This window comes from Homo sapiens, chromosome 13, assembly GCF_000001405.40.
Source record: "Homo sapiens chromosome 13, GRCh38.p14 Primary Assembly".
NCBI lineage: Eukaryota > Metazoa > Chordata > Mammalia > Primates > Hominidae > Homo > Homo sapiens.
In genome coordinates this window covers 92424071-92440323 of record NC_000013.11, presented here as the reverse complement: position 1 = coordinate 92440323, position 16253 = coordinate 92424071, and the positions used below count along the sequence as shown (strand labels likewise).

The 16253-nt window shown below is 34.2% G+C and overlaps 1 protein-coding gene across 2 annotated transcripts in view, besides 1 other annotated feature; it reads right to left on the bottom strand.

Annotated features, from left to right (window-relative positions):
* Positions 1–16253, bottom strand: part of GPC5 (glypican 5) — a 1468617-nt gene that overhangs the window by 426914 nt on the left and 1025450 nt on the right. The gene's annotated exons all lie outside the window — the stretch shown is intronic.
* Positions 2927–3521: an enhancer, noted in NCBI's record as "OCT4-NANOG hESC enhancer chr13:93089056-93089650 (GRCh37/hg19 assembly coordinates)". NCBI's record gives its function as "activates a minimal SCP1, AML or CMV promoter by ChIP-STARR-seq in naive H9 embryonic stem cells {active_cell/tissue: H9 hESC(naive)}" and the evidence as "EXISTENCE:reporter gene assay evidence [ECO:0000049][PMID:30033119]".

The window sequence follows — 16253 nt, the reverse complement described above, 5'->3', positions numbered from 1 at the left end:
TAAACATTGGGCCCTTATAGACATAAAGATGGGAAGCATAGACACTGGAGACTACTACAATGGAGAGAGAGGGAGGGGTAAAGTGTTGAAAAACTACCTATTGGGTACTATTCTCAGTACATGGGGAATGGGTTAATTCATATTCCAAACCTCAGCATCACGCAATATACTTATGTAATGCACCTGCATATGAACCCCCTGAATATAAAATAAAAGCTGAAAAGAAAACATTGTCTTGTCCCATCATTCCCTTTTGTCTTCACCAGTGGCTCCAATGGATTAACAATAGTTCCTTGCTATACAGAGCTCCCTATCCAATTAATTCCTGGAGGCTTGTATGCCAATACCTTCAAGGAATCAATCTCTTTTTAGAGTCGTTTCATTTAAGCCAGACTGCAGCCAGTTCCATTCCCTTCTAGAGGGAAAATCACTTCTCCTTCTACCAGAAGTGTGAACTCCCTCAAGTACCTAACTGAATCCTGAGAGGTCTGACTACCTAACTTCTAGCTGACTATTACAATGGGCTCTGTGTTCTGTCTTCTTTCTTATTTTCTTCTGGCCATAGCTGGTAATTTTGAGGTCAACTAAATTAAATACATTATATAGACCCCCATTGTCTTTGGTTTTCCAGACTTGAACACAGATTTTTATGTTCTTTTATGTTCCTATTTTTAAAAACATACATTTATTTTCTTCATCCAGTGATACAGGACTACTTTCATCCAATACCCTTCCACTCTGCTCTCTGGTACCCACACTTTATGAAAAACAAATTCCCTTCTATTGTCAAATTCTTTTTGGAATGTTCCTCCAACTCTTAGTGTTAACTGGAAATTGACACCCAGAGAATATTAATTATGAAAAAATATTATAGAAAAAGAAAGTATTCAGATTTATTCCTAAGCCTATTTTAGTTTAAATTGCATTTACACTGGACCACTGAAAATGCTCTGTCAAAGTCACTGAGTCCCTTATCACTAAATCCATTCCACTTAATAATCCTCTTTTATAGGACTTTTCTATAGCATTTGAAAATGTTGACTACTCTCTCCATTCTGAAATTGCTATTTCTTTTCTTGCATAACTGCAATTGCCTGGTTCTTCCTCTAGATATGGGAGTTATTTCTTCTCAGTATCCTTTATGCACTTCTTTTCCTTGAGCCAATCCTCAGTGGACCAGATAATTATATCTTAGATTGTCTTCTCTTCTTAGACTCCACACCCTTCCCAGGGTACAGCTTTAGCTCTTGTAACTCCAATTAACATTACAGACTGAGGTTTGTCACATGGATTTCTCTAGTCCTGGTCTTTTATCTGAGCTCCAGACCAGTATATCCAACTGTATAATAAACATCTATACTTGGCTGTGTATAGGAACTTCAAATTTTTCATGTTTGAAATGGAGCCACTCATTTTTTCCAGCATGCTTACTTTCTCTTCCAAGTTCTTAATTTCAGAAAATAGCCCATCATCCTTCCAGTGGCTCAAGCTACAAACCTAGGCATCATTCTTGACCTCCTTTCCTCCTTCACACCTATACCTATTTAACTACCAATTGTTTTAGAATCCGCCTCCAAAATTCCCTCAATATGTCAACTTACAGACATCCTTTATGCCACGACCATTGTCCCAGTAACAGTTATTGACAATTTGGATTATGTCTAATGGCCTTGTAAATGGTCTCACTCGCTCAAGTTCTATACCTCTGAAAGCTCTTTTTGAATGTTAAAGCCAGGATTACATTTTTAAAACATACACTTAATCATGTAGCATCTTGATTAAAAGCTTTAAAGGTTTTCCCATTGCTCTTCTCTCCCTCAATGCAAGCCATCTCTTGACTACTCTCCCTGCTGCAAATGTTGAGAACTATGTCACCCATGCTTAAGCTGACCATCTTTCAAGGCATGTCTCGTAATATATATATATATATATATATATATTTATTTTGCTTTAAACGTTCTTCTACTCTATCACCTTAAAAAGGTCATTTACTGGATAAATGCTGATGCTACCTCCAGGACACAGCTTACGTGTGATTTTCTTTGGGAACACTTACCCAACATTGTAGATTGGGTTGGTTCTCCATTTATGTGTTCATAGGTACATGATAATTCCTTATACAGCTCGTATTTTATTGTATGAAAAGTAGACTGAGTCTACTTTGCTCATAATTTTATTCCCAGCACTAAACACATCGGTAGGCATAATTCTAAGGATGACTCCCAATGACCACCACCCTGTATAATCTCCAATCCTGGAGGGTGGGTTGAAGATATGAGCATGTTGCAATATCATGTCTGTGATTGTTAAATTATATGGTATATATGCAATTAAAATCAATAATCAGTTCACTTCATGTTAATCAAAAGGGAGATTATCCATGTGGGCCCACTGTAATTCGTGAACACTTTAAAAACAGTTTTCTCTAGCTTATTGTAGAGGAGAGATCCAGAGAGATTTACAGCAGGAGAAGGATTCATCCCATTTCTGCTAATAACCTGAAGGAAGTTGGAATTCCTTCTCATAACCAACCAATCAGAGTTCAGCTTGTTGGATAACTTGACTGATTTCAGTCTTGTGAGATTTATACAGAGGACCCAATTGAGTCCAGTTAAACACACAACCTAAGAACTATGAGATAATAAATGGGTGATGTTGTATGACACTAAGTTTGTGGTAATTATTATGGAAGTAATAGAAAAATAATATAGCATACTTCCTAAAACAAGTTGGAGTTCAACTGTGTGAAATGATTGAATTTAACGCAACTATAAGAATTTTAAAAAGCTGTAAACTTTTCTATTTTTTGATGTACAACTACATATTTTTTTCTTCTTAAGGTATAATGTGTATATTATTTACAGGTTAATAATGGATTCATTTCTAAAATTGATTCAGTTGATGTTGCCTGGGTAATTGAAGCAGTATCTCTAGGCCAGGAGCTTCTCAATTTAAACTACATTTAACAAGTCTATTGTAAGAGAATACATAATGCATAAATCAAAAAACTAAATAAAGACTCCGATACCTGCAGTATTATTAGTAAGACAATGATAGATCTGTCACTCAGTGCTTGTCATTGGTCTTAAAAGGGCCGATTCTATTGATGTTTTTGTCTCCCACATACATCCCTGGGTGACTGTCTTAGTTTTCTTGTTTTGACTTGCCATCTTTCCCAGAGGCAACTCTTAAATCTATGTCAGAGCAATGTTGGATGTCTGCTTTTCAAAGCAAGTATTCAAACCACCTGCTGTTCTGGGATTGCAGTTTGATTGCTGGCATTTATTTCTGTTTCAGTCTCATTCTATTTACAAAACATTTCCTTTGATAAGAAGATATCCTTTTTTATATTTTGTCATGTTTTCCCTTTAAATAATTAAAGTTATAAAATCTTTTAAATGAAAATGTAGGTAAATCCTTGAAATATTCATTGTGTTGATTCATTTATGTTTTTACAGAAACATTTAAGTGTGTCAGGCACAGTGCTGGGCACTAGGAATAAAAGGATAAATTAGTCACAATGATCATCACCTATTGAATAATCTCATACATGACTGATTTTAGTGCAAAATAAAAGCAGCAGACACTGTATTAACCTAATAATATGAATTAAATACTAAACGTTCAAAAATTTTGTGTGATGAGTGGTTTGAATACAACATTTCAAAAAGAATGTGGATAGAACTATTTTTATTGGAGGCTTACAGGAGAGCAAACTATAAATTAAGGTATAGAATTACAATTCAGATTGTGGAAGGATGAGTGATGTAATGTGTCATGTAGCCTGGGAAATAGAAAGCAAGAGATGGAATTGGGAAAATAGTGCCAAGAACTGTGAAGAGCTGAGATTTTGCATATTGTAAGCAAATGAGTAAACTTACCACAGTTTCATGGATGCCAGCGAAGGATACAAGACTGCAACTGAATCAGAAAGAATGAGAGAAAGGCACTTTTCTTCCCAGAAGTATAATATGAATGACAAAGTCCTGTTACAGCTGAAACAGTATTCATATTTGTTTACACACATAAAACATACATTCATATACCAGATTGTGTAAAATCTAAGAGACTTTCCACAATAGCCAGGAGTTTTAGCCACACTTAGAAGAAACAGTTCAATTCATAACACAAACAAAATAAGTCTTTACACACAAAACTAAAATCTGTGCCATTTTTCCATCAACATTAATGGATGATATTGTCATTAGAGTCTTATTTGACTAGATGGTAACTTATGGTCTGAATGAATAATTTTAATATCAAAATAACAGAATAGTCAGTAAGATGTTAATTTACTCAATAGGCTGCTACTAACTTTATAAGACAAAAGACTGATTAAAAATATAAATCTTAAAGAGAGTCATTAATAGTTCCTACATGTACTTTTGGCAAATGAAGTGCTGTATTTTAGATATATGTGAATTCGAAGTTGTTTTGAGTTGAATTAAGTGTCTTAAAATTCCCTGAATGCATTCTACCAAATTCAGACTATTTTTAAATTTCATGTTCATTATTTTAAATCAAATATGGACCATCTCTGAATTGCCTGTGTCCATGAGCACAAACGTTCACACATATAATCATAAATATGGTTGGTTGACCAGAATAATGGTATTTCAGTCTTTGTTCTTTTTCATTCCTTTGTAATCAATGCCCAGTGTTAACCTTTACTTTGTACATATATCCCTCCCCATAGTTGTTGGCCCATGACTCAGTTCTCTTTTCAGACATTTCAAACTTTGTCTTTGTAAAGCCTTTGCTCACATCATATTTCCCACAGGATGTCAGTACCTTTTTAAATTCTCCAATGAGTGTATTTTGTTCTTCTTGCCCAAAATAGAATGATCTTTTATCTCTAACAAAAGTTTCTGTTTCTTTTTGATATATTCAATACTTTTAGGCCTTTCAGACCTTTTGAAAACCGTTCCATAGAAATTATGTCATTTGAATCCCTCTTCTCCCAGATTGTCAAAATACATTTATTTTTATATTTAAAACATTCAACCCCTTTTGGTCTTGATTCATTTTCTATATTTGCAATTCAAGTAAGTCAAAATAAAAATAAGGGGATACTATATGTCATTTAATTTTCTCAAATTTCATTTGGACTGCTGGGTGCAGTGGCTCATGCCTGTAATCCCAGTACTTTGGGACGCCAAGGTGGGCAGATTACCTGAGGTCAGGAGTTCAGGACCAACTTGGTCAACATGGTGAAACCCCGTCTCTACTAAAAATACAAAAATTAGCTGGGTGTGGTGGCATGCACCTGTAGTCCAAGCAACTCAGGAGGATGAGACAGAAGAATCGCTTGAACCAGGGAGGCAGAGGTTTCAGTGAGCTGAGATGGCACTACTGCCCTCCAGCCTGGGTGACAGAGCTAGACTATGTCTCAAAAAAAATATTAGTTGGACAAATTAGTTTAATGGTTATATTGATAGCAAAACGCATTGTATCTGTTATATAGTGAATAGATGGTCTCCTTGAAAGATAATACGATAGGTTCCTCTGTGGAAACCCAGCTCTGCTCCTGTCTTTGATTAACCAAATGTGACCTTTAGGAGGGTATTTTAATACCTCTGGGAGATAGTTTTATCATTTCTTAATAAGGGGCTTGACACAGATATTTCTCTTAACTTTAAATTTTTATCACACTGCAAAGGGATATTACCTTCAAGATATTTCTTTAACCTGTATAGTATCAGATTTAAACCACAATGAGATTATTTAAAGCACCATTATTTCCTGATATCACGAGATGTAATAAACTTGTAGAATCATTAAAGAAAAGGTCATCTTGAATACAAGCCATTTTTCCAATATTTTTTCCATTATGGATGTATTTTTCTCTTTATCAAGGTAGGTATGTTTTTTCTCTTGTAGTATATAGGACTATAACTGACTGATAAAAACCTTTTCCTGAAGAAAAAAACATTCTATTGCAATGGGACTTTAAAAATTATTTCATTATTACTTCCTCTGCTTTACCTCTTCTTGATTCAAGACATTTTTTTCTTGAATGACTCAAGAAAAATAGTCATTTCTTAGTGGTTGTTATGGTTCTCTAAATTGTTTTTATCTACCAGTACTAACTTTAGGCTTGCACATTAGAAAGGTGTTGGCCACTGTGAATAACCCTGCTACAGTTATTATGCATTAAAAGTAGAACATTTACTAGTACAGCAATGATGTCAACATTTCTCCCAATGAGGGCAAGGTCTATGTTCCTTGCCTTTGAATTTGGTTTGGCCTGGGACTACAGCATAGTGGTGCTAACTGTACTCATTTCTTAAATCATAATTTCCAAAAATTTTCTCAATGTTATCAGACAGAAGTACGACATATCCCTTTTCATTTTTCTCCAGTTTTCCAAGTTACATGTTTCATCCCTTCACCTTTCTCTTCAAATGTATGCTTGACTGATCTTGAGAATCCTAATCATGTAAAGCTTGTTTTTGGAGGAACATCTTATCTTCTTTAGGACCTAGAGGTAGGTGTCACCGTTTTCTGTACCCAAACCATTTCTTTCTCTTACTTTTTCCAAACTCTGCCACTTTCTCAACACACGGCAACAGGCTTTTTCTCCTTTTTAATATAACCTACTCACCTCTTAGTCAATTGTTTATAATTCATGTACTGATTGCATCAGTTTAGTTGATTTCTCTACTACTGTGCCTGTATTATTATTGCAGGCATAACATTCATATAAGTAATTCATCTATCACCTTGATATCTGAGCTGCTTGACATCCTCGGCATCAACTGTCTGCTCCTCCATACTACGTGAATCATGAACTCTTATCTCCAATTACAACACTAGCTCTGCCATTATAATCTCAAGCATTCCACTCTCAGATCAGTAATTCCTATTTTTCCATCTGATGCACTATAATATTCCCACATTTCACATCTCATTAGAACCTTCAACCTATTGATGCTACCCCACCGTTCCACTCATAGGTGATAACTTTACTTCCTAATTCATAATCATATAAAACAACCTCCTCTTTTGTCTACCAAACTCATCCCCATAGCTATCTCTGTATCTAGATATTCTGCCTTCTTCTCAGGCTACAGTGAAGAATGTAACCTGATCTTCATCTGTGCTTCAAATCTCATTCTTTCTCACCATCTCGGTGTCTTCACTTTGGCAAATATTCTATTTTTCTTCTCCTGTATCATACATTCCTCCCATTCTGTGGTTCATTTCCATCAGCAAATAAACATGCTTAGTATTAACTATCTTAAAACATTATCCTTTGTCTACTCATTCTCCTTCAACAACTGCTTAATTTCTTTTTATTCATCAAAGTAAATTTTGCAAAATAATAGTCCTTTGCATTCTTCTCTATTCTATTCACAGTTTCTCTAATAAGCTCACCTAGTTGCAGGTTATAAACATCTCCTTCATACTAATGACTGTCAAATATTTATCTTTTTCCAGAGGATCCTTCTAAGTCCTACACATACAAAAGGAAAGGAAAAGGAAAAGAAACCCAACTCATTTAATCATGCTACTTAGAGGTTAATTGGAATCTTATATTCAACCAAACTCTTGATGTTTCCTCATACTAAACCTACTGCTTTCCAAGACTTCTCTAACTTAAAAAAAGTAAACACTAGGTTGCTGAAGCTAAAAAAAAACTAGTTTATGGCCAGGCGTCATGGCTCACACCTTTAATCCCAGCATTTTGGGAGGCGGAGGCGGGCAGATCACGAGGTCAGGAGATCAAGACCATCCTGGCTAACACAGCGAAATCACGTCTCTATTTAAAAAAAAAAAAAAATAGCCGGGCGTGGTGGTGGGTGCCTGTGATGATCACGCAGATCACTTGACCATGAGTTGAAAATGGGAGGTTGAGGCAGGAGAAAGGCATGAACCCAGGAGGCGGAGCTTGCAGTGAGCCTGCATTCCAGCCTGGGTGACAGAGCAAGAATCCATCTCAAGAAAAAAAAAAAAAAAAAAAAAACCCACCACCAACAATAAAAAAACTAGTTTATTAGTCAGCTTAGGCTGCCATAAAAAAATACCATTGACTGAGTTGTTTCAACAAAAGAGCTTTATTTTCTCACAGTTCTGAAAGGCAGAAGTACGATATCAGGGAGCCAGAATGGTCAGTTTCTGGTGATGCTCTCTTCCTGCCCTGCAGATGGCCACCTTCTTGCTGTGTCCTCACATGGGAGAGTAAGCCAAGCTCTCTGGTTTCTCTTCTTATAAGTGCCCCAATTCCATCTTGAGAGCCTCAGCCTCATAACCTTATCTGAACCAAATTACTTCCCAAAGGCCTCATCTCCAAATACAATCACATTGGGGCTTTAACATATACATTGTGAGGAAGACACAATTCAGTCCATTGCACCAAGTATGTATCCTTGATGCCTTCATTTTTGACAACTTCCTACAATCTGCCAGCACTACTTACAAATTCATCACTGACACTATTTACAAATTTACTTTTCACCAACTCTCGCCTCATCAGCCATTCAAGTCACATAAATTATTTTATCTAGGACACATAAACAGCCTTTTAAACAGTCTTCCTTCTCCCTTCTATTTGAACAATAGTCCATTTTCAACTCATGGTCAGAGTGATCTGTTTGATTACTCTAATCAAGATCATGTTATCATGTTAGCATGTTATTCCTCTGCTAAACCTCTCCGATGGCTTTCCCACAAGCTCTCCTCCTCACCATGGCCTCTGTAGTCTTTGCTCAGACAATCTATTTCATCCCATCTCCATCTTCTTTACACTGACTTTGCTTCTAAATATTAATTATATCAATGTTTTTCATATTTCAGAGCCTCTACATTTGTTATTTAATCTTCCTGAAGTGCTTTTCCTATAGAACCTTTCTAGTTGCCTCAACTATTTAGCCTAAATCTTACCTCTTCACAGAGACTTTTCTGATCACTTTAGCTTAAAAAAAAAAAAAAAAGCTGTGTCTTTAATGTCTCACATATAGTCATGTTGTCCTGTGTTATTTAGGTGTTACTTTCTTAATTGTAGTAATCATTACCTTAAATTATCTTTTATTGTATATATTTATGTGCTTACCATTTGTGTTCAACTATTTGAATGAAACTTTCTTGAGAGCAAGAATGTTGTTTCTTGCTCATCATTACATATCTAATACCTAGAAATATGTCTGCACATAGGAAGTGGTTAATAAGTGTTTGTTGACTGATTGACACTCTGTGGTTTACATATGTTACGATAATCTAAAATGCAGAATCTCAAAATATCAGTAGAGTAATTGGTTTGGGAAAGAGAATAAAAAGATATCTAAATTCTGTGTTTACCAGACAACTATTGCATAGTGCTCATCAGCATCAAAGACTACTAATCTAGAAATATTTATTGTATTGTGTCTGATGCTTTACTTGCCATGTTAGAAGTCACTATTTACTAGTAGAGCTAATTTTTGCATTTATATCATTGAAAAAACAAATGTAAAGCTTTACATTTGTTTATCTATGGTGATTTTTCTTTGCAAGCTTAATGAGGTTTACTGCTGGCAACTCCTTTTTACTCTTATGACTTGGGTTCCCATTGTCCCTCACCCACTTGTATTCTCTTTCAGAAAGTTTGCTACACCAATTTACTAGCCACGTTCAGCAGGCTTTTAAGAAACTTATTTTAAAAGCCACATTTCTGCTCTTGAATTTTTCTGAATTTTGATTATCTTCCTTACCCAGTGATTCTCTACCTGTAACGTGGGCATGAATCATCTGGACAGTCTAGCGAAGAGGCACCAAAATGTGATAAAAATGTAAATGCTGGCCCACTCCCACCCTGGCTCAGATATGTCTGTTTCAAGTAAACACATGAAATGATTCAGATGCAGGTGAGATTGCATTTAATTCTCAAATAACTTCATTGAGATTGACTCTGAAGAGTTTCGTTACTGCCTGCAGAACGTTTAAAAATAATGTTTTCTCCAATACTGCAAGGAATACATTATTTTGTTTTGAAAATTTGAATAGTTACATACAAATAAATAGCTGATAAATATCAATAGTAATCCTATGGCCTCAGGTAAAAACTATTAACTTTAGCACATATACATTTCTTAGTGTTTTTCCCCCCATTTTTCTAAACATGTGTTATATGCCAAGCATTCTAAACAGGATAGGTAAATGAGCAAGATGGAAAGTATCCTCCTCTCAGGGAGCTATATAAGCACTTTTTTTTTCTTTAAATTTTTTTTTCTAAATTTTTTAATTGACTAAAAGTTGTATCTATTTATTATGTACAACATGCTGTTCTGAAATAGTTATACATTGTGAAATGGCTAAATCATCCTAGATAACATATGCGTTACCTCACTACTTATTTCTTGTGATGGCAATACTTAAAATCTACTCTCTTCACAATTTTCAAGTACATAATACCTGTTATTAAATAGTCACCATGTTGTACAATAGATCTCTTGAATTTGTTCATCCTGTCTCAAAGTTTATATTCCTTGACCAACATCTCTCTTTGTAAAAAAATTAGTATTACGCTCCCAGTAATTCTTAATGATTACAAAATATTTCATTGCATAAATAGACCTTAACTTTCTTACCTATCCATCTAGTGTTCAACATTTAGAATGTATAATACACATCTTTGCAAATAAATATACATCCAAATTCTAGATTTTTATATAACTTCTGAAAAGTAAAATTTCCAGAGAGGTTGATAGAAAACAAACAGCAAATGATATGTGAAAATGGTGCTGACCATTTTTGCTTCTAGAAGCAATGATTTGGCAGGTTTCATTTCCCATTGGGGACAAGTAAATATTTAAATAAATAAAAAATCTTTTGTGATTATAAAATTTGGATTTTATAAAAATTGAATGTATTATGTAGAGAAATATTATTAAATTATTTAAAAATTAGTTTTTTAAATTAGTATATTAAGTATAGTTAATATTTTGTGTATTATTATTATTATTTCCATTTTTCTGCGCCTGAGTAGTCATAGGAAGGTGTGAATGTGCTTCCTGGAATATGAAATGTGGCGACTATCTTGCATACAGTTTTGGTTACTTGGGGAGGAACTTAATGATTCTCTTTATAACATGAATAAAATGTCACAATTACTTTAATTTTGAATGGTTTTTCATGATAGATATTTGCATATGAATTATTCTGTCCATCTTTTAATTTTAATTTTATCCCATTAATACTGTACATAGGAAGTGTTATCTTTTATGGTGAAAACAATATACTTAAATTCTCCTTTGACTTTAATTTTTTCAAATCTTAACTTTTAATTTATGTAAGATTTATTTGTTGTAATGCATGAAATTAATATCTAAAGTATTTTGTCCCCCCAAAGCTAGCCAATACTCCCTAAATCATTTATTTGCAATCCTGATTTATTCTTTCGTCACAGATTTATTATATAGTAAGCTTTTACATGTGGAGGGAAATTGTTTCTTCATGATTTCTTGAAGCCAGAGATTTGCCAGACTTCTCCAGCTATATATATTTTTGTTTAATAGCATGATTTTACATTCAAAACATGAATCAGTACGATTGATTAGTAATGGTTGGCTCTACAGAAGCATTCTTAAATTCTACCCTGGAGGTCAGAATGAATAAAATAGGTGTCAGGCCTTGTGCATGAATTTTCCTGTGGAAAATCACAAACCTTTGGGCACACTTGGCACAAAATATAATGTAAACTAGAGAGAACTCTAAGCTGCTGTTACCAACTGATCATTGGAGTGCTTTGATGTTTCTTTTTATTCAAACTCAGTTTCTCTGAGCAAGATATATTTGAGCCAACAATGATCAGACACCCACTCGTCTGACTAGATACTTGCAGAAAATAAACCAGTAAGAGAACTGTTAGTGTAACAGTACTGAAAAATATGGACCAATCGGAGGCAAGCTGGCGTCTGGATGATGAGGATTTATGGGTGGATACTATAAAAAGGCCAAGGTCCTGGGAGGAAGTGACTATAACACAGGGTACTACCTCTTTGTTCACATGATGCTTTCAGAGATAATTCAATTTGAATGATTTTCTTTGTCAAAGCGAAACAACCAAATGAAGATGTGGCTCAACTCAACCAGGATATCATCCAAGACAGGAGAGTCTTACGATGACATCAGCAGAGCCACATCCATTCTGATAGAGACCATGTGTCCGCCATAGGTTGGGGGCCAGGAATGAAGAAATAAAGAGAAGATATTTGGAATCATTTCTATGTATTTATATCTGTTGACCACGGTAGTAATAGGACTCTTTCTCTTTTTTGTTGATTAATACTCAATAAAACATTTTGCTGACAAAAATCAATAAAACATGCAAGTGGAAAACAAAAAATGATACAGGCTGTCTGAAAACTACTCAATTATTCCACATTATTATTTTGTCTTGAAAGATCACTTAAATTTTTCCATCTATGTTTTGCTAAAACAATACAAATATATTTTAGTTACTTTTTGGCAAACACTTCTTCCTTACTTAATTTGCCATAAGAAGCATTTGTTAGCAACTAAGGAGCTAGATCAAAGTGAATTCCTATCACTAATTGAGATCTTTGGATTTATTTTACAAATACTTCAAACGTTATTGGGCTAGGCTTGCACATCCAGGTTAATCAACTTCAAAGTGTATCTCACAAGATCACTTGACTCAATGGAATCATCGGAAAAATAAATATTCTTAATGTCACCCAGCAACAGTTTCTTTAATGAATACTTCCTGAGCCTTTACCAGCCCTAAAAATACAAGAAGTTTAATCCCGTTATTAGACATTTTTCTACAATTACTATCAGAAGCAATAGAGTAACGTGGCATGTTTTTATTCAAACTGCTGTCAATCATCTTGTTCACTCTCTCTCTCACCATTCCCTCACTGCAGAGCCATTTAAGATTTTATATCCGAGCTAAGTTCCAATAAATATTTTGCTCCTCCTGAGGAATTTGTGCATTTCTTCTATTGGAAAATAAGAATCGTATCAGTTATCATTTTCTGGGAGAGCCAGTTATCTCGTATGTTATTTACCAGTCAACTGCAAAACAATGGAGACCAAACTTGTAGAGGAGTTAGGTTTTAAAAACAGCATAAAACCACAATAACACAGAGTCAGATTCATCCCTGAAAATCTCCTTCTTAGCTTCCAACTTAGAAATCGACCTGCTATATTCTGATAAATCAAACACAACCAGTGTCTTCTCCAATCTTGAAAATGATTGCTATTCCTTGGGTAAGCACTAGGTGAAATGTTTTTTTTCAATAAATATTCAGACTTCACTTTCACACTATTTACAGCAAGATGTTCTTAACTAAAATAGGCAGCCAGGAAATGAGTGAGCCTATGTAATGGTCAGAAGAACAGATTCGTCTCTCATCACAAGCTCATTATAGAAACTGATGGCTCAATTTCCTGAATGATTTAACTAGTTCTCTCTTTTTCTTCTTGTTTTCACAGGTCTCCTATAGTTTAATTCTCTACAGTTAAGTAGATAAATCTATTGCACTTTTACATGTTTATAACCTGTGCTCTCTATGGATCCATGTTCTAATTTTTACCACTTTTTGCCCTCTGTCCTCCATCCATAGTTTCTTAATTTTTAATTTTCATTTTATTTTTGATTTGTATATAAAATTATATGTAATCAAAGCATAAGAGCTATACTGAGTGAAGCTAAACACATAAGCAAATACATAAAATAAGCCAGAAGAACTCTAAAAACAGGGAAAGATTCTCATTGCTCTTTTTCTTCCAATGAACACTTTGATTATGCATTTTGTTTTAAAATAAATATAATTTTGCATCATAAGTCTTATCCTTGACATTTTAGCTAGTCTCCCATCTAAGGGTATATGGAACTTATAAAGAGACTGAAAGAAAGATCAGGACTATTTGAGAAATATTTTTTAAAATATGGAAAGCTGATTGAAATTTCTGAGAAAAGCAGTACAGCAGAGGAGGTCACTGTCATAGAAGAGGTGGCCAATCTTTTTTGTAGGATCTGCAAAGAGCAGGCTCAGAGTTGGCTGTAGAAAGGGTAAGAATGAGAATCAAGACTCAACAGGGGTATTCACCATGGGTATAATATAGAGTGACTTTCAGTGCTCTGTCCCACCTATACACATAGGACTGATGGCCAGATATATAATCATGGGTCTTAGGGAAGGAGAAGAGGGGTATTCTCTAAATAAAATGAACAAATTCTGGGGAAAACTGAAGCTTCCATTGTGAACCTTGGTATGTCAAAGTAAAGCATTTCTAAATCTGGAATCTCAGAGGCCTTCAGTGTTCGGTGTTGTATTGTTTTAACAGAAAAGTAGAATAAGCCTAAATACCTATCAACAGGGGAATGATTAAATGTATGTTGATCTAATGTTAGAGAGCTATTAACAACACCAACTATAAATGTGTAAATATGATATTAGAAATATTTTTAGATGAAAAAAGCAAGGCATAGAATAGTTTGCCTAACATGCTAGTGTTTGAGTAAAACAACTTAAAATGAAGATAACATATAAACTACAAAATAGCTAAAATATATACATATATTTTGAAGGGAGAAGCAGTGAACATGGGTGTCAGGGAAATGAAATGAACAATTATCTTTCCTAGTGAGGAGCCAAGAGGCACTGTCTAAAGTTGATTAAAAAATAATAAAGGCATATTGCTTAGGATTATGGGTATAACCAAAAGAAGGAAGCCCAAAGATAATCTGCTCTTACAAAGGTTGAACAGGAGAAGAGTGAAGGAAGGACATAGGCTCTGGAATCTGACTCTGCATTTAAAACTGGACAGCCACTCCTTAGTTGTTTGATTTTATTAAGTCACTTGTTTCCTTAGCTCTAAAGGGGTGATAAAAATAGAATCTTTGCCATAGGACTGTCGTGGTAATTTTTTTTCAGATAAGGAATAAAAAGTCCTTAGTACTTGGCATGTAGAAACCAATCAATAAATGTTAGAAACATTAGCCATAATTTTTAGAGAGGGTAGAGGTGGGAGAGGGTAGAGGTGGGAGATGGTAAACTTTTACTACATCTAGAAACTATTTATATTTAACTTACATATTTACATTTGTATTTAACTTACATATTTTTCCTATCACAATTTACCAAAATACAAATTTTAAAATATGTCTTTTATAAATAAAGGTCTTTTACAGACTGAGTTGTCCTGATACAAAGGAACAGAGAATTGAAAAAAGGCATCAATGGAGATTGATTGATGGGCATCACGGGAAGGGCAGAGTCAGTAAATTAAATGTGAGAAACTAGAAACATGAAATAACAACAAACAAAAATAGAAAATGCTGGTTGGAGATGCACTTTGGTGTAACAAAAGGCTTCATTTTAGGTGTGTTAAGCATGAGAAGATGTCAGCCTATCAAGACAGAAATACTCAACATCTACTTGCCCTTTGAAGCAGGAGCTATATCTTATTCATCTTTGAATCCCCACCACCTAGTTCACGTGTCTGGAATATAGTAGGACTCAGTACATGTTCAATGAATGAATGAATGAATGAATGAATGAATGAATAGATGAATATTGATTTGTGTCAACTATAGAAATGACAGTGAAGCAATCAAAGTATGTAAGCAAAGAAAGAGGAAGCAAGTCTTGAGGAATATCCATTTCTAAATAAAAGTAATCAAAAAAGGTGAGACTAGTGGAAGAGAGACCCACGAATTAAAAAAAAAAATACAGAGATCAAGTCATAAAGCTATGGAAGAACAGATGTAACTTTTTAATAATAATGAAGTATATCTGTGTGCTTTCTTCTCTTAATAATATGATGAACCTTGTCTTTGAAAAGACAAATTGAACAAAAAATGTCTGTGTACCCAAAAAGATAAAGGCATTTTGTTTCTAGAATAAAGAGGAGAATACTTAAAATTCTTTTTTAATGAGTTAAAAAATAAATATTGTCTGTCATATTGAATGCTTATTTGTACATAGCTATTTAATAAATATTAATTGGATTAAATTAAATATCTTTGCTCAAAGGTAATAAAATCACTTATCTCTTAAAATACTACCCATGTTAATTAAAACAATTTTAAAATACAGAAAATTGGAAAGAAGAATAAATAATTGGTTTTATTGTAATGTTTTGATTACTTTTGAGTTTCTGTAGTTCTTATATTGCATTCATTTCTGGAGAAGCAATAACCCTAGAGGAATTTTCATATCATGGAAGAAATTTTAATTTGTTAAAGGCATGATCATTTCTAGGTTATATTAGGAAACATTCATACATTTCTCAAGGGGAAAGGGCAT